We start from the raw sequence: 19058 nt of genomic DNA on the forward strand, positions 1-19058 counted from the left end.
TGACGGCCTACCGTGGTCTCAGTGCTGCGTCTCGGGGGAGAAAGGGGAGGCCTTCTTTGTGCTTAGCCTTCCCACTAGGTGCCTAATCCATTCCATGGGGGAACTGAGACCTGTGACAGAAAGAATTAGAGCTTGCCCATGACGCTGCATAACCAGCTGCTAAGTCGTGTGATACCACGTGTGAGTGATGGTCAGCAAAGAGAATGATTGAGACACGCCTCTCTCTGACCTGGACTCCCTGACCTTTCCCCTCTGCACCTGGGCTCCTTTGCCTTCTGCCCCTGGACTCCCCTGACCTTTCTCCCCTGCACCTAGCCTCTTCTGACATGGATTTTTTAGAATCACCAAGACTGCTCAAACGATTAGATTTTATCAGCCAGCACAGAGTAGATAGTGTCTGGCTACTTCCTTACTGTGACTGTGTCCACAGTATATATAACCAGGCTGGGTCTGTCATGAGACTCTCCGCGGGCTTATAATGAGGGTTGCTGGAATGTAGCTGGGTTGCATCTTTGTCCCCACCCCATCATGCTGTGTACCTTGTGGGCATCAGATGTGGTTGGGAGCAGGTGCTGCCACCACACAAAGCTCAGCTCCCAGCCTTCCTTCTTAGGTCACACTGAGCAGCGCCCAGCTTGCCATTTCTGAAGTAACCTGAAGACCCACAGTTTGCAGCCCTGCATTCAGTGCCAAAAGAGGGCGGTGGGCATCTCCGGGAGCATCCACAATTTATTATACACCACCGAGTACTAAGTAAATGGACAGAAGAGCCGTGTGAGAAAGTTTGAACCCAGAAATTTAATATTTCATTAAAAACCACTGTCCCCTTACCTCCTCCCTTGCCACACAACGCAGGAGACATCAAAAGGCAAAACCTTCCCCAAGTTATTTGCAAATCCTCATGTTTCATCCATGTGTTTAACCGTTTAACCTTTCATAACCTGTTCCCAAGTGGGAATCAAAAGGTTAAAATAATGCCTCGGATCTTGACGTCACATTTCAGGAGTTCTCTTTCTTTCTCCTCCTTTTGCGACTGTGTTGTCTCCAGCCCTTTAAGCCTCCTTGAGTAAGAGCACCGCACAGGAAGGTGTGCACCTGCCCCGTCAGCAGGGCTGGTGGCCAGTGGCATCGCATCATGCTTTTTAAGTTGGGGGCCGTTGGTCCAGGGGCTCATTTGCCTTTGCACGAGGTGCTGCTTTTGCTTTTGCCTGACACCCCAAGCAGTCTTGGGGTGAGGGGATGGGTACGGCCCAGAATCACAGGCCCACTTCTGAGGGCTTGCAGCTGCTGGAATGAGCACTTTCACATCAGTGCCCAAAAACCTAACTTGGAAAATAGTGCCGTTGTTGCTTTTTAAATGTTTTGAGATGCCCTTTTTCCTTAATTGGAGGTGCAGTGGGATGAGCGTGAGGCGTTGGGAGATGTGGCGGGCAGAAGGACCTCCGAGCAGTGCTTTTTCTGTTGCCATCAGCAGGTTCCCTAATGGTTTTATAACTGTAAATGCTGCCTATGCACTGCTGAGTGGGAGTAATGAGCATTAGTTAAAAGAGGCAAATGAAGAAAAGTCAACCAAGACATTAAGTGCTTTTTTTGTCTCCTGGCTTTAAACAAGCCACTTTGTTGCAAACCAATGATCCTGCCGTGTTTTTCACTAGGTTAATAAAAACAAGAAGTGGCGTGAGCTGGCAACCAACCTAAACGTTGGCACCTCAAGCAGTGCAGCGAGCTCCCTGAAAAAGCAGTATATTCAGTACCTGTTTGCCTTTGAGTGCAAGATCGAACGTGGGGAGGAGCCCCCGCCGGAAGTCTTCAGCACCGGGGACACCAAAAAGCAGCCCAAGCTCCAGCCGCCATCTCCTGGTAAGTGGCGGCGCTGCAGTCACTGGCCCAGGAAAGCCCAGGCGCCTGGCCTGGGAGGTTCCGGGAAGGTGGTTTCACAGTCAGGCCAACAGGGAACTTGGGACTTTTGAGAGGTGGGGGGTTCCTGTGTCGTTTTGTTTATTTAATTGGACGCCCACTGGCAGTGTTAAGGGATGAGAGAATTAAATCTGGGATATGGCCATTTCTGGTTGACACTTGGAAGGCACCCCTTCTTTTGCTTTACCTTAATCAAAACAGGCTTTCGAATTCTAAGCCATATACGTTTATTGCTTATACAAGTATTCAAAAAGATTCCATCTACCTCTACACAAAATAAAGATCCCCCAGTGGCCAGTTTGAATACATGTGCACTTCTAGGAAATGCCACCCTACAGGTTCGACAGCTCGAGCTCCCCCGCCCTCTTTCGGAAATCCTCAGATTTGAACTTTAGTAAAATGAAGCCTGGGCTTCGTTTCTAATGTCCCCTACCCAGCAAGTTCTCACTTCTAGGGAATTTAACAAGCTGTCGTGGTAAGGATCCACACGGCCTTGTTTTGGAAACAGGTGGTCTTTTGCAGCCTTGTTCTGGAAGTCAGGGGTCTTAGGAATGGGTGCAGCGCTGGCCACCAACACGCTCGCAGGCCGAGCCACATCAGTGACGCCTGCTGGCTCCCTTCCCTCTCCTCCCCACTGACAGAGACCCTCCCATTCCTTTCAGCTCCCCTGCCAGCCTTCGTTCTACCGTTTGGCTTTCAGATTTGAAATGACAAAATCATATATTCTGATAAATGCAATAGTAGAGAGGGGAAGAAATTGGCACCTTAGTGCTGGGTGGTGACCTTACTCCAGTAGATCCGACCATTCTCTTATCTGTGTCTGCCTCGCAGTCAGCGACCTTCAGCACATTAGCCTCACTGTTCCTGGTCCCTGTCTATGAGATGTGGCTGCACCCACCGCTCCTGTACACAGCTTGTTCTGAGCGTGGCTGGCAGCCCATGTTTCCTGAGCACTTCCAGTGTGCTGGGCCCTTTTCTAAGTGCTATCATTTCATTTTCACATCAGCCCTGTGACATTGATACTATTTTAAAATCCATGAGAAAATGAAGGTCTCGTGGAATCTAAGTACTTGCCCAAAGCCAACTAGCTGGGGAGTAGAAGGTCTTATCTGGGGCATCTGGTGCTACAGTATACACGATACCCACCAGACACCTCTGGCTGTATTGAAAATACCTTTGTAATATGTGAAATGTTTACACATAGAAGCCAGAGAAAGAGGTCATTTCATTTTTAATGATTTCCTCTAGCTGCTGTCTGGATGGCAAAGCTGATATCCAAGGTTGCTAATCAAGGGATCTCACATAAATACGTTTTAGGCCCAAAGTGCACTTGTAGTGAATATACCTAGAATTACATCTGTAGGCTCTAAAAACAAGTAGAAATCCTCGCTAACCTCATCCTTAAAGATTCAAAGGCTTTACCAACTCAGGTGTCCCTTAAAAACTGGGAAATCTAATTTTAAAAATCTCACAACATTACATCCAGTTCACAGAGTAAAACAAGCTGCCTGTGAACAGCTCTGAAACTATTTTTCCAAAATAAAAACCCAGTGGGGCGTAGGGACCAAAGTGGTGATGTCTGTAAAGATCTAAGGGTACATTTTATTTGCCAGGAAAGAACTCGTGTCACTGAATGGGCTGCACTTGTGTATGGAGAATAGCTCTCCCAGTGTGCATCAGCTTCAGGACGGGGGCCCTGCTGAGGCGTATAGATCCTTCAGAAAGTGGAGGGCCTGTTCTCTTAACAGCCAGCCGTTCCCTTTTCCCCTTTTTTAAACTGTCATTTTTATGGCAACATTATCATTTTAACTACACAAAAGAGCTTGGATTGCAAATGGACTCCTGGTATACATTCTTCTCAGTAGTCCAGATGGAGCCGAGGGCCTGTGACACAGGAGGCAGTGGAAGGAAAGCCTCCTGGTCTCGTCCAGCCCCGAGAGCGCGTGCAGGGGGCTCCAGGCACACACAGGCGTCTGGGGGTCGCAGGCAGAGGCACCCTGGTCTTCAGAAGCCTCTCGATTCACTGCCACCCACACAGCAGGTGGCCTCTCCGATTCCAGTCCCATCATTAGGGAAAGTGTCTGGAAACATTTTTGTTGTTAAAGGAAAATAAAATTATTCCCAACTATTGGCCATGTTAGAGTCTCATTTATTACAAGATTTTTAAACACAAATTTACGGTAAAAATGTATGTTCTTTGAAGTCACTTTTTCCTGGAAGAACATAATTATAGTTTATTTTTTACCAGCACATTCAGGCGAACTAAACTAAAAGATTCTGAAGAAACATTTTAGATTTTTTTTCACCCAATGGTTGCTCTGAACCAGCTAAAATCCTAAGTCTTTTGACTGTATTCTAAGAGCACTCTAAGTCATCTGTCTCTAGTCAGGTTTCAATTTGGGGTGCTAATACAGCTCTAGGCTTCAATTCTGTCAGCCTCTGGGAGGCATAAGCCCCTTGGCCCCTGGGGCTGCACCCCACATATCACTGCCAAGTGGCTGTGTGGCTTCTCACACCGGATGTCTGGGTTCCTGTCTTCCAGCCACCAGAGCAAGTCAGTGATTGAGACTCCCAGGTGAACCAAGGCAAGGCCATGGGGTGTGGTTTGTGTCTTTAAGGTGCCAGTGGCGATCTTGTTATAAAGCATCTAGAAAAGGTTGTGGGGGAGTTCCAATGAGCGCTGTAGGAAGCACCTCCCCAGCCTGTAAGCTGGAGATGGGGAGGGGAATGGAAGGGACCAGGCTGGGAGAAGTGGGGCAGGGGTGGGGCATGGAGCTCCACATTCGGTTAATAAGTCTGTAACCAAAAACCCATCCATCTTGGCTGGCAGGTGGCTGACTGAATTTCTATTATTAGCTGACAGGTGATGTCACAAAACCTGTCATGGATCCAACTAGGGAATCCTCAGTGGAAGATAAATGAGAAAGGGACTCAGGTTATAAACAGAGGTGCCCTCTGGTTGACCTCTAGTCACTGTAGACCTGGGACATATCAGCTATTCCTTCTCCCCACCCTACTTCGCTCAACCCCGCCAGAACTAGGGCACCAGGTTCGTGCCGGGTAAATTATCTTCCCAGCTAGGAGCCTGGCCATGCTGTCTGAAGTGTGTGAATGTACTTAACCTTCAGTAACCTTTCCATTGTTTACTTTAGAGTATACATTTGTAGCTTCTGGCAAAAGGTAGGGATGTCCTAGAGAGCCTGCCAGCCTCCTCTATTAATGGAGTTACAAGAGGTTGCATTCATTTTTTTTTTTTCCATGAAAGGAAAGGAAAAAAAAAACACTGGCAAGGGAGATTTTTCCTTTTTTTTTTTATTAGCTATAAATGTGAATACTTGTAAATAAGGGTCTTTCTGAAATCAAGCCTTGCAAGTGATGTTTCCAAGGAGGCTGTCGGCTGGAGCGGAGCCTGCCTGAATTTCGAAAGCAAGTCATTTCTCTTCTGCAGCACTAGGCGGGCAACCATGTCTGCAGGATTATTACCCTTTTATATCTGCAAAAGACGGCTTTCTTCCTTTACTCCAATATACCTTTTTAACATGTGTTTCCAGGGTTTTACGCAAATTTGGTTTGTAAGTATGAGTGAATACATTTTTCTTTTAAAATACCTACAATAAGTGTCAATCTTCTCTGTATAACAAACCCCCATGACATGCGTTTACCTATGTAACAAACCTGCACATCCTGCACATGTACCCCTCAACTTAAAGTTTAAAAAAAAAAAAGTAAATAAAAACTTTTTTAAAAAAGTCAGTCTTTGTGGCATCTCTGAGAACTTCTCTAAGTCATTCAGTGCAGGGCTCACAGGGACGGATGTTACGCAGTGTTCAGCTCTGTTGGCCAGCGTTCATTCCAACCCAGGCCAGAGGCTGGGCAGACCTCATCTGGCTAGGAATGTCTCTGTCTAGCTGAGGCTTTCCGAGTAGAAATAATGTACTCATTTTGATTTCTGACTCCTTCCCAGTGTCCTCTGTAACCTCTCGTGGTTTGTTTCACCTCCATTGCCACTAGAGTAAAATGTGAATAATGGTAGTTGTAGTGAGCCTTGGGAACGTCATAGGAAAGGCATTCTACACAATAACATGGAAAACGTTATTCACAAGCAGCAGTAATCCTGCCATTTGTTCGGGGGGTTCTGCACGTTTTTATCAGAAACTCCATGAGGGCAGGGGTTGTTGTCTTTCTTATCAGTTTGGTCCACTGGTGTATGTGAGCATAGAAGAGAACCTAGACTATAGTAGGTGTATTACTCATTTATTAAGTATTTGTTTAATTCACACATGAAACCAGTATCTATTGATGATCTGGCGTGCTAAGGACTGCAGTAGATGACAGAGCAGGAGCCCTGCAAATGTTACGTTTTTCCCTCAAGGTGAGGTTAATTAATTTTTCCAAGAGTCCCACATAAGGTTTGGAAAAAATCAGTTCAATTCTGTTATTATAATGTAATTATACTTAAAGCCAAATCTCAGCACCCTGATAACAGCATTAAAAAAACGCCAAACCAGTATGACTTGTGCTTTTTGATAACAAATCTGATTTCATAGGTCAAAAAGTGACACTATTAATGACAGCACAGACACATTCAGATGTTGAGAAGCTATTGAAATGACATAAGGCTCATTGTTAATTTGTGTCCTTGCTTTTCATCTTAAACATTTCACATTGTCTAAGACCCAGAACTAAGTTTTCTAATTTCGTTTCTAAAACAGCACAATAATTCATCGAGTTGATGCACAAAAATTTTCATCCCATTTATAAAAATGTACATTTAGATTATTTCCAGTCTAGACAACAGTGAATGAACACTCTTCTGCCTAAAGCCTCCTTTTTATTAGATTATTTTCTTGGGATAAATACCCCAGAAAATAAGTATCCAGTCAAAAGATATAAATGTGTTTTATGGCTCACAAATGAAATATGTTGCCAAATAGTTTACTCAAAAACTTCTTTACTAATTTTTACTGTAAACAATAGAAAAGCAACGAATTTTACAACATCATTATCAGCAATGGCTATTGTTACTGTTTCTAATAAGATGGTGTCTTATTTACATTTATGTCTTTCATCTGTATAACTAGCAAGGCAGCTGGGCTTACTTGATAATCTCTGGATTTCTTCCTGTTTCTCTTGGTGCTGCTACTATCAGCTAACTCGGGATCCTTGCAAGGCCCACAGACCCCCCAGTCAACTGGCAGCAATTCCATGGCAGAGGTTCCAGGTGACCTGAAGCCACCTACCCCAGCCTCCACCCCTCACGGCCAGATGACTCCAATGCAAGGTGGAAGGTATGTTCAAATAACTCTGTGAGGCATACAAAGTCACATTTGTTCATCTTTTAGTTTTCTGGGGCAAACTTCACAGAGAGAAGAAATGGTATTCCCTAGAGAGTTTTTAAATGTTGATGACTGCCAGTTTTCTTCATGTCATTTATCTTGAATGGTTTTTGCATTTGCACATTTCAAGATGGGTTCATCTTCTGAATGTACTGTTTGGAGGTAACTCCTGCTGTATCATTAAGCTTTCATTCTTTGCCTCTCTTCAGAAGCAGTACAATCAGTGTGCACGACCCATTCTCAGATGTGAGTGATTCATCCTTCCCGAAACGGAACTCCATGACTCCAAACGCCCCCTACCAGCAGGGCATGAGCATGCCCGATGTGATGGGCAGGATGCCCTATGAGCCCAACAAGGACCCCTTTGGGGGAATGAGAAAAGGTACGTGTAGAGGGGCCTCCACCCGGCCATGGACCAGTGGGCATTCTACTCTCTGCCGTTCCACAACAGTTCACCTTTCACTCAGAACACCTCTGAGCCCATGCTGCATCGGTGTGGGTCCCAGGTCCCCATCCTACTCCACTTGTGGCCTTGGGAAAAGCAGTTAGCCTCTTTGTGCCCTCATCCTGTCCCCGGCTGGCCTCAGTGCCCTCAGCCTGTTCCCTGGCACATGCTCCCTGTTTCCGGATACCTGCCACCTCCTTACACGTGCCAAGTTACGTTCCTCATCTAGAAATTGGGAAAATAATAGGACCCGCTTCCAAAGGCATGGCGAGGATTAAGTTCCTGCAACAGAGCTCAGAGAAGAGTGGCTGGCAGCCGCGGTAAGTAAGCACGCACTTCACGGCACTTGGCATGGTGGTGTGCTAGTGTGCGCTGGGCGCTAGCTCGTGGATTGGTAAATCAGAGTCGCTGCCCACCTTCAGGGAATCACAGACTCCCTGCCTTCTTACTTCCTGGGAGGAAGCAAAAAATAAGTTAAGCACAAATAAGCAGTTAAAGATTGTGGTTGGTGGAAGACAGGAAAGTGAAAGGAAGAAAGGATACAGATAGCAGTGGCACTGGGTGGCGCGGTGGGAGAGAGGGAAAGCGATTTAGACTGAGTGGTCGGGAGGGAAGGGCCCTGAGGACCTGTCATGGGGGTGGTGGTGGGAATGAGCTTGGTGTATGAGGAGGTGGTGGGTGTCCAGAGCACAGTGAGCATGGGCCCGGGGACAGGCTGAGGTCGTTGAGGCCGGCGGGGCCAAAGCCTTTCGGTGTCTGTGGGCGTATTGATGAATCTGGATTTTTCCCCAAGGTGAAAGATGTTATGCAGGGAAGTGATGTGAGTAGTTTTTTTTTGTGATAAATAAATAAATGACTGGCCATCTCTGGAGAATGTACTGGAAAGAGGTAAGAGTAGCTTTGGGGAGACCACTGTGAGAGTCTAGGGGGAGCTGGCCAACTGGAGCCGGACACCAGCAGCACAGAGGGAACCCGCCGGCAGAGTGTATGTCAGAGGTGCTGGTGGAGTGAACGCGGGCCCTGAGGGAGAAGCTAACCGTGACTGGGCGGGTGAAGACATTATTCCCTGCAATGCAGAGGATTGGAAAAGGACCGGGCTAGAGAGGGGAACCTGGAGTCCCTCTGGGGTGTGTCCCGGTGGTAAGGCATGGAGTGCATGGCTGGAGCTGAGCAGATGTTGGGATCGGTATGATCTTGGAGTAGTAAGTGTAGAAATGGCATCTGCAGTGATGGGATTGATGAGATCCTTGAGACAGAGAGTGCAGAAGTTTATGACTGCCATCAGGAGACACCAGGCTGGCCCTTCCCTTGATGCCTGCCGACTCCCAAGGTTGAGGTGGCACTGAGGCTGTGACTGTCTGAGCCACTGTCCTTCAGTTCTGCCCGTGGTCTACAAGCCACAAGTGGAGACTTGATATTTTGCTCTTGCGCATTCTTCCAAGTGCATTCAAGGCCTGTGAAATTGAAGCATGATGTGTATATTATTGGAAAAAAACATATAGAATAAATAGTGAATAATATTTTTATGGAAATACTTACTCTGGAATCCCTTAAATAATAGTACCTGTGTTGGGGTACATAAATTTCTTGATAATATTGTCTGAGTGGAGAGAAGCATAAAGCCCAAAGCCTTGGTTTTCATATGTATTATAGACCAATGAAAAAGAACAATGGAGAGTCTTTAAAATTTGAGTATAGGGCATATACCATTTAAAAATGAAATTCATAGTATTTCATGTACAACATTTCAGGTAACACTCATAAAGCAAGATCATCTATGATTTTTTTCTTTCAAAAGTTTCAGGGCTGCTTATTCCAAGTGAGGATTTTGTAGGACATGCAGTAAATCCATAAGCTTAGAATTTCAAAAGCTTTGTGAATGTTGGGGTAGCTGTTTTTCTTAGTGGTATGAGATGCTAGACAGAACATTTCGTTAGTGCTTTTGGTGGCTTTAGACTCTGAAAATATGACAACATGGAAAAAAATAATTAGTAGTATTTAGAATTTGGCCTCAAAATGTATTGCAAACCATTCCCATATCCCACCGATACACCACATTAGACAACTATAGGTGTATTTCCCTCGTGTCCTCATGCCTAGAATTTCTTATTACAAAAATAAATTTGTGGGGGTGGAATGATTCTGGGATCACCTTGCTAGGCCCTAGGTAGATATATGCAGATACTTCTCACCTTACAGTGGGGTTACATCAGAAGAAACCCATCCTAAATTGAAAATATTGGTAAGTTGAAAACACACTTTCACTTACGATATTTTTGATTGACAATGAGTTGATCCGGACATAACCCCATCTTAAATTGAGGAGCATACTGAATGCCTGTCGCTTTCACACCATCATAAGGTTGAGCCATCCTACTTTGGTGACTGTCTGTAATGTTGTTTTCATCAACCATGTAAATGATCCCCGGTGGCAAGTACAATCCCTAGTGTATTTCAGTTCACCTGCTGCCTTACGGTATTGATGTATTCAGTACCAAATTAAAGCAGATAAACAGAAAATCCACGGGAAACACATTTTCTAAGAGTCTTAATCCTGTTGTGTATAGTTTTCCATTCTTCAGTTTGCCTTACTCTGTCAGTAAACTTAATGGTGCTCTGATTTTTTATTTAATGACTAACTTCAGTGGAAAACATACTCTTTGTCGCTGTTGCTGCTGCTGGTGGTGTTAACCTGTAGTACAAGTAGCATGGTCAGAGTCTGATCTAATATTAGCCCTCAGTAGCCCTGAGGGGCCTGGCCCTGCCTGTTCACCGGCCTGCCTTCCCTGCCTTCTTACTTCCTTACTTCACTGATTGAGGCATTGATTGATTACATATAAATGAACATCATTTTATATGTTTAACAGAATAGTATATATCGAATTTATATTATTATCTGTACACATAGCTCTACTTTTTTTAATTGAATAGATACACCCTAATGCTCTAGTAATGGGTGAGTTGTTCCATAATCTTTTCTATTATAAACAATGAAGCAGTGATTGTTGAAGTACAGTTTTTTCACATTGTAAGAATGTTTCTGCGAAATAGATTCCTAGAAGTAGAATTGTTGAATCAAAGGATATGAACTTTTTTTTTAGTTTACTGAGTATCTCAGCTTTTACAGTATAACAAACTACCCCCAAATCTTAGTGGCTTTAAAAACAGTAACACTTAATTATATCTCTCAGTTCTGTGGTAGACTGGGTAGTTCTTCGCTCTGTGTGTCATGTTGTCAGCTAGGATATTGAGGTGGCCGCCATCATCTGGGAGCCAGGCTGAGAGCTCTGCTGGGCTCTGATGTCTCTCAAGTGGCTGATGTCATCCCCAGGCTCTACTGGGACCTCAACTGGAGCTGTTGGCTGCAGCCTCCTCCATGGGGCCTTTCCATGTAGTTTCTTAGGTGCCTATAACATGGCAGATGGATTTCAAGAGGGAGCACTCCAAGAGGACAGGTCCCGGGAGCAAGCAGTTAAAAACTTTTGCTTGCATCTCACTTGCTGGAGCCCTCTTAGGCAATGCTAATCACATGACCAAACCCAAAGGCATCATGGGAGGGGTTTCCCAGGCTGCGAATGCTGGGAGATGCACTTCTTTGGGGGTTGCCAAAGCACAGCCTCCCATAGCAGGTAAAGCAGGTATTGGCAAAGCTTATACCAGCTTAATGTTCTCAACAAAAGCATGTGAGAGTGTGCGGGTTCTCACCCCCTTACTAAGAATGATCATTGTCCATCATTTTAACATTGGCCAATCAGATGGAAGGGGGAAGGCCTCATTACTGTTTACCTTGGATTCATTCCATTATTAGTGAACTCACACATCTTTTCATATGTTGATTGACCATTTGTTTTTCTTTTGTGAATGTTCATTTATGTGTTTGCCCATTTTTAATTTGATTGTTGCTTTTCCTGTTGATTTTTTTAAATTTCCTTGTGTATTAGAGAAAAGCTATTTAATTATGTCACGTGATTTCTTTCTATCTCTGTTTTCACATCTACAAAATAGAAAGTAACTTCAAAACTGGTTCTACCACAGGTTGATGTGAGATCAAATAGATAAAACAGGTGAAAGCACATTGCAAAGGAAAATACTTGATGCTGGCATTGGCCCCTCTCTACCAGCCTAACAAAATGTATCTACTCATGAAATCTTAACCAGCTTTTGCTTCACATAACATAAAAGTAACTATCATAGGATGGAGAAAGGTAGCAATACTGTATAACGATGAAAATTTATATTAAAATGTTTAATTTGCCTTCAGGCTAGTTTCTGGACTGAACACAATTTCCTTCAGGCTCTGAGCTGATGCTAATTTGCATGTACTACCTACTTGTCACTCCATCCTGTGTTAGAAATAGTTGTATTTCATCCCATCTTGAGCTATTCTTAACTCCTTAATAATTTTTTTAATCCTTATTTTGGAGTGAATCAGTGGCTGAATGTTAAGGTTTTCACCTTTTTTCTTATGGGAGAAGGGAACTAACTTTGTATACATATTTTATGTCCTCCTTACAACCATTTCATGAGATAATATTACTGGCCTCATTTTATAGACAAGAAAATAGGGGCCAGGTGATGACTCATGCCTGTAATTCTAGCACCTCAAGAGGTTGAGGAAGGCAGGCAGATCACTTGAGCCCAGGAGTTCGAGGCTACAGTAAGCTACGATTTCACCACTGCAGTTGCAACATTGCACCTCTTATCACTAGGTGATACAGCGAGACCCTCTCTCTAAAAAACATAATAAAAATGTTGAAAAGAAATGAAATTAAACTCAGAGGTAACTTACCCAAGTAAGGAATGGATCTGGGCCTGTATTAGTTTTCTATGTTGTTATATAACAAGTTACCACAAACTTAGCAGCTTAAAACAACATAAATGTATGATCCTCCAGTGTCTGTGGATCAGGAATCTGGCACAGTGTGACTGGGCCTCTGCTCAGGGTCCCACAGGCTAAAATCAAGGTGTCTGCCAGCACTGTGAGCTCTTTGAAGGCTCAGGGTCCTCGTCCGAGTTTATTTAAGTCATTGGCAGAATTCACTTGCTTGTGTTTGTGAGGCTGCAGTCCCGTTTTCTTGTTGACTATCTTCTGCCCACCTTCCCTAACACGTGATCCCCCTCCACAGCATGCCAGTTGCTTCTTCAAGGCCAGCAGGAAAATATCTCTGACTTGCTTCCTCTCTAAGCTCTAGATCCAAACTTAAAGGGCTACCTGGACAATCTCCCTTCTGTTTAAACTCACAATCGGCTGATTAGTAACTATAATCACATCTGTTAAGCCCCTTTTGCCATGTAACATACATAACATAATCATGGGAGTGATACCATCGTATTCATAGGTCCCACCCACACTGAAGGGGAGGGGCTCATGGAAGGTGCCCACCGGGCAGGGGGTGCTGGATCTTCGGGGCCATCTTAGATTTCTGCCCCCACAGAGCACATCTTGGCTCCACAACTTATGCTCTTTCAATAGTATTATGGTCTATCATATTAAGAAAAAGTACAGGCCAGGCGCAGTGGCTCACGCCTATAATCCCAGCATGTTGCAAGGCTGAGGTGGATGGATCACCTGAGGTCAGGAGTTCAAGACCAGCCTGACCTACATGGTGAAACCCTGTCTCTACTAAAAATACAAAAATTAGCCAGGTGTGGTGGTGGATGCCTGTAATCTCAGCTACTTGGGAGGGTGACGCAGGAGAATCGCCTGAACCCGGGAGGCAGAGGTTGCAGTGAGCCAAGATCACACCACTGCATTAGCCTGGGCGACAGAGTGAGACTCCATCTCAAAAAAAAGAAAAAGTCCAAAGACAATAGAGATGACTAGAAGGGATGGATGGGCCTTTGACTTTCAGAAATGCCTAAATGTATGCATTTTATTTAAAATATTGCAGTGCCTGGAAGCAGCGAGCCCTTTATGACGCAAGGACAGATGCCCAACAGCAGCATGCAGGACATGTACAACCAAAGTCCCTCCGGAGCAATGTCTAACCTGGGCATGGGGCAGCGCCAGCAGTTTCCCTATGGAGCCAGTTACGACCGAAGGTGAGTATTTTTTAAGATGACAATATGATGATTTACTAGAAACCGTGCTTTCCTCACACACACATTTCTGAGCCCTGGCAGCTGAGCCACTGATGACAATATACAGTGTCCCCTTTCCTGTGAAAGTAAAGAGGCAATGGCTGCTGGTCACCAGGTGAGTGTCAGGTGGCTGCCCTCAGTAGATGGCTATTCAGGACCAGGGAGAAGGACCTTGGCCTTGGTAGGAGTCTTCTTCCCGAAGTCAAGAGCCAGGGCCGCCACAAGTCACGCTGGCACCCGGCACCAGCACCCAGCTTCCTTCTGAGGGACTGCCAGCTGCACACTCCAGACATGGCTCGCCTGGAGCTCCTGGATGCCTGGGCCTCCACAGCACCCGCTCCCCTCCCTCCCTTCTTTCTGTCTGGGGGAAAGGCCTGTGCAGTGGTAGCCACACTGGGCTTTCAGCATTCTGGAAAGGTCTTCCAGGCAGTGCTTTTCCCCTGTGAATATTTTAAACAGAGGGACAATACTTTGCTCTTTAATAAACATCTCTAGAAAACCCACAGCACAGGCCTCACTGCAGCCTCGCTTAAGGAAGTCATCTTGAAATGACTGAAAATGGCAAGTTAAACTTGCAAGTTAAAATGGCAAGTTCAGCTGCAGGACTGATGATGCAGAGTGATTTGTAACTAGATAGGAGGAAAAGTTATTGAAATGGCTCTGAAAGGTAACCTGAAAACTGCTTCCTAAGATGATGGCATAGGGTAGGCTTCTTTTTGTGAAGAAAGTCCCTTGCCTGGGCCCTGACTTCAATACTCATTGTCACAAAAACCCCTTCCCCTTGTTGGGTATGTTCTCTACCTCCTAGTAAGAGACATGATGATAAGCAAGGTTTTCATATAATATTTCAGATTTTTAAAGAAAAAAGATAGAGGCATAATAGAAGGGCTTTTCCCTCCCCGGAGCCACAGTGTGTGCCACAGGGTGGAGCTGACTTCGGGATCGCGGCCTTCGGAAGCTGCGTGTGCTGTTCTACCGGGGACCGGCTGGGCCAGAGCCGCTCACCTTTCATCAGCCCACATGCTGGGGTCACAGGGATGGGTCAGTGGGAAAGCTTCCTCAGTGTAATACAAAGGAGAAAAAGGTTGAAAAATCACGGCTTTACCAAATGAGGTTTCTTTATGGTATTGTCTGTGAGCCTTGTTCTTGAGAGTCCATCCCATGTTTAAGGAGACACGGTGCTTTCTCCTAGGGACCTAGGAATTTACTCTTCTAATTCTTAACCCGGCCATAATACGGCCAATATTTACTTGTGATATATTCGTTAATCAGTTAACCATAAGGTAACATTTAGTGTGCTGAATCAAGGATTTCAGTTAGGTTTGTTTTGTTTCTGAGGGTCCAGGAAAAGCTACAGATGTTTTTTTGGGGGGGGTAGCTGGCAAGATTAGAAGAACAATTATCTGGGCTCTATCTACCACATTAAAGAGAGGTTTACCTCATTGTTAAGTTTTCTCTTCTGAAAAATGTTGCTTGTTAGGCAACTTAAATTTTACCCATGTCAATTACATTTCTTTCCTCCTATCTCTGCATTTCCTTCTTAGATATCAAAGTAGTTATCAAAAGTTCCCGTGTCTGTTTCACATGTGATAGTCTAAAAATTCAGTTATTTGTTTTTATTATTCTCATTCCTTGATCAGCTTAGGAATATATTCAGTCCATTGTTCCCTTTCTTACAAGATTTAGTATATTAAACCAATGTATTTTTCAAAGTTCCAAATCTATTGTCTTTTAAAACATGCTATTTTTTATGGTATTTATAATTTCTTAATATACTAGTAGTTGAAAAATGAATGTATTATTCATTTCCATTTTAAGATGTAATAGGTGTACATTTGAATCATCCCTGTTATTCTTTTCTGGAGCCTTTTAGGGCATAGGACTGTGAAATTCTGAGCACTTGTATTTATATAATGATTAGCTAACATTTGAATTAAATTTGAAGTATAGCTTTTAAAAATTAAACATTTTCCATTCATAATGAGAATGTGCAAAGTACAAACATTTTGATGTTCTGGCACTTGTAGGAACATTGCCTTTGAGTCTTAAGTTCTTCTTGCTGTTTCTTGCTTCCCTTAATGCCTGTCATCACAGCACTGTACGACACTTCCTAAGGTACACGTCAGTGGACAGGCGGGGCTGCGGCCTCCAAGCAGAGGCCAGAGGCTCTAACAAGTGCTTACAGGGTGCCTGCCTGCTCAACCGGTATTCCTCTGACACCTATTAGCCAACAGCCCAAACTAGGAGCTTGGCACCATTCCCAAAATGGGTGTTCCCATCCCTGGTGCTAACAGTTGGCGTGCAGCTGCCTCTCAGAGGGCCTTTGTCGGAGGGGTGCGCAGTAAAAGCCACACAGAGCTGCTTGAGGGAGTCAGGGTTCCAGAAATGGATTGTTTATTTCTCTGTTTGCCTGAAGCTTTTTCTCAGTTAAGTTTTCTTTGAATGCCTCATTCCAGGCATGAACCTTATGGGCAGCAGTATCCAGGCCAAGGCCCTCCCTCGGGACAGCCGCCGTATGGAGGGCACCAGCCCGGCCTGTACCCACAGCAGCCGGTGAGTTGGCAAGTGGGCGTGGGGTGCTGTGTTTTCTGGTTCTGTCCTGGAGGCTAAAACTCAAACTTGTCTTACTTCTGAAGATTTTCAGACATCTAACAAAAATGATTAGTGTTTGTTGAGCATTCAGGATATAGTTAATGCTAGAAAGTACTCCTGGGATGTTGAAGTCAGCAAATTAAAAATAACTCTTGATACACGGTTTCTTGAAACACATATGACCTGTAATAAGAAGTTGAGTGTATTCATCCTTGTAAATAATAACAAGCCCAAGCTAGAATTAGTATATTTTAAACATGTATCTATTGTGCATACTGTTGTATCAGAAGCCATTTTAGAACAGAAATTTGTCAATGCTTTAAGGAGAATGTGTAGAAAAGCAACTTAAAATATTGTATACTAATAGTGAAAGTGAATTGGCTTATTTAAAAATGAGATAAGATGCTAATGATACTTATTTTGAATAAGTAGGACAGGTTTTTGCTGGTTCACAGGTGACCATTGCAGCTCAGAGATGCTAAGTTACGCAGGATCTCCCCCTTACAGTGACCAGTGCCGCTGCAGGAACCGCCCTTCGTGGTGTGGCTTTCCAGACATACAGGACTTTGCTGTTTTTAAAAAACTTTTCAGATCTGAGAACTCTTGCAAAAAATAAAAATTTTGAAAACTATATATATGTTATATAATTATAATAATTATATATAATAATATGTATATCATTTTTCATTTATTTAATTTTGCTGGAGCATATAGGCACAAGGAATTGCTTTTTTTCTTTTTTTGAGATGGAGTCTCGCTCTGTCTGGAATCCAGTGGTGCAATCTCGGCTCACTGCAACCTCTGCCTCCTGGGCTCAAGCGATTCTCCTGCCTCAGCCTCCCAAGCAGCTGGGACTACAGGCACCCGCCACCATGCCCAGCTAATTTTTGTATTTTTACTATAAGAGACGGGGTTTCACCATGTTGGCCAGGCTGGTCTTGAACTCCTGACCTCAGGTGATCCTCCTGCCTCAGCCTCCCAAAGTGCTGGGATTACAGGCGTGAGTCACTGCGCCTGGCCAGTGAATTGCATTATTAAACCAACTGATCTTAAACAGTTTTCAAGTAAAGTGGAAAACATCAGCATCTCACTGCCTCCCATCAGAGTCCCACCTACCCCGATTAAGCACTGGTCCCGGAGCATCCTGGGAAGCAAGCTTAATAACAGGTGTGGTCCCAGCCCTGTCCTCAGTGCTGGGACCAGTGGGGCTTTGGGGGAGCCACACCTGACCAGGCCAGAAGTCAGGGCAGGAGCCGTGGGATGGATGTTGGGTGACACGGGCCAGTCTGGGGAGCCGAGTCCTGTTCGGGGGCTTTTCTGTAAAATGAGGCCCAAGAAACCCTTTTACCCCAAGACCCTTTCAGGCCGGCCCCTGGATGCTGGCTTTCCTGTGAGAGGGTCCTTCTGCCTCCTGCTGTGGTCCTAGTGCAGCTCCCAGCCCGGGAGCCGTCTGCCTGTGTGGGAGTTGAACGCTGGCTGTCCCGGTGGCACAGCCTAAGGAGAGGAGGCTTTTTTTTTTCCACAGGAAGTTTCAAACACGTGAAAACAAACTTTGGATGCTCTCTCCTCAGTGTGTGACATGGTGTATATAATACTGAAATATTGAACATAAATTGTTAGTTCTCTGTTGTTATAGGAGCTTCCCATATTCATTTTGAAATGAACATTCTAGCAGGTAATAACTATTTTGCATAATTTCAGTGTGTGATTATACCTGTAAGAGCACATCAGGATGATTTGTCTTTCTGTGAATTCCAGAATTACAAACGCCATATGGACGGCATGTACGGGCCCCCAGCCAAGCGCCACGAGGGCGACATGTACAACATGCAGTACAGCAGCCAGCAGCAGGAGATGTACAACCAGTATGGAGGCTCCTACTCGGGCCCGGACCGCAGGCCCATCCAGGGCCAGTACCCGTATCCCTACAGCAGGGAGAGGATGCAGGGCCCGGGGCAGATCCAGACACACGGAATCCCGCCTCAGATGATGGGCGGCCCGCTGCAGTCGTCCTCCAGTGAGGGGCCTCAGCAGAATATGTGGGCAGCACGCAATGATATGCCTTATCCCTACCAGAACAGGCAGGGCCCTGGCGGCCCTACACAGGCGCCCCCTTACCCAGGCATGAACCGCACAGACGATATGATGGTACCCGATCAGAGGATAAATCATGAGAGCCAGTGGCCTTCTCACGTCAGCCAGCGTCAGCCTTATATGTCGTCCTCAGCCTCCATGCAGCCCATCACACGCCCACCACAGCCGTCCTACCAGACGCCACCGTCACTGCCAAATCACATCTCCAGGGCGCCCAGCCCAGCGTCCTTCCAGCGCTCCCTGGAGAACCGCATGTCTCCAAGCAAGTCTCCTTTTCTGCCGTCTATGAAGATGCAGAAGGTCATGCCCACGGTCCCCACATCCCAGGTCACCGGGCCACCACCCCAACCACCCCCAATCAGAAGGGAGATCACCTTTCCTCCTGGCTCAGTAGAAGCATCACAACCAGTCTTGAAACAAAGGCGAAAGATTACCTCCAAAGATATCGGTAAGAATTCCAAAGCTTTCATTCTGAAATGAATTCCAGTTGCAGTGTAGAATTTTAATTTTAGTAAAGATGCTGTTCCTGCTCATCTTAAAGGGATGAAAAAATTATGACTAGAAGTTATCAAGATGCGTTTTTATATAGGAGT

General features: G+C 45.1%; 1 protein-coding gene across 38 annotated transcripts in view, besides 3 other annotated features; it reads left to right on the forward strand.

Moving 5' to 3' along the window:
• Positions 1–19058, forward strand: part of ARID1B (AT-rich interaction domain 1B) — a 434754-nt gene that overhangs the window by 406550 nt on the left and 9146 nt on the right. For 37 of the 38 annotated variants that reach the window (NM_001371656.1, XM_011535984.3, XM_017011105.3 and 34 more), the window contains 6 exons: positions 1656–1860; positions 7067–7205; positions 7463–7635; positions 13590–13740; positions 16236–16332; positions 18130–18913. In NM_001371656.1, coding sequence (NP_001358585.1) covers positions 1656–1860; positions 7067–7205; positions 7463–7635; positions 13590–13740; positions 16236–16332; positions 18130–18913 — 1549 coding nt within the window. Of the gene's footprint in view, positions 1–1655; positions 1861–7066; positions 7206–7462; positions 7636–13589; positions 13741–16235; positions 16333–18129; positions 18914–19058 lie in introns of those variants that run through there. The other variant, XM_047419155.1, reaches the window with a different exon arrangement.
• Positions 1120–1414: a silencer, noted in NCBI's record as "tiled region #1838; K562 Repressive non-DNase unmatched - State 14:Gen5'". NCBI's record gives its function as "represses a minimal TATA promoter and a strong SV40 promoter by Sharpr-MPRA in K562 cells {active_cell/tissue: K562}" and the evidence as "EXISTENCE:reporter gene assay evidence [ECO:0000049][PMID:27701403]".
• Positions 3367–3867: an enhancer, noted in NCBI's record as "H3K4me1 hESC enhancer chr6:157507076-157507576 (GRCh37/hg19 assembly coordinates)". NCBI's record gives its function as "activates a minimal SCP1, AML or CMV promoter by ChIP-STARR-seq in primed H9 embryonic stem cells {active_cell/tissue: H9 hESC(primed)}" and the evidence as "EXISTENCE:reporter gene assay evidence [ECO:0000049][PMID:30033119]".
• Positions 3868–4368: an enhancer, noted in NCBI's record as "H3K4me1 hESC enhancer chr6:157507577-157508077 (GRCh37/hg19 assembly coordinates)". NCBI's record gives its function as "activates a minimal SCP1, AML or CMV promoter by ChIP-STARR-seq in naive and primed H9 embryonic stem cells {active_cell/tissue: H9 hESC(naive and primed)}" and the evidence as "EXISTENCE:reporter gene assay evidence [ECO:0000049][PMID:30033119]".

This window comes from Homo sapiens, chromosome 6, assembly GCF_000001405.40.
Source record: "Homo sapiens chromosome 6, GRCh38.p14 Primary Assembly".
NCBI lineage: Eukaryota > Metazoa > Chordata > Mammalia > Primates > Hominidae > Homo > Homo sapiens.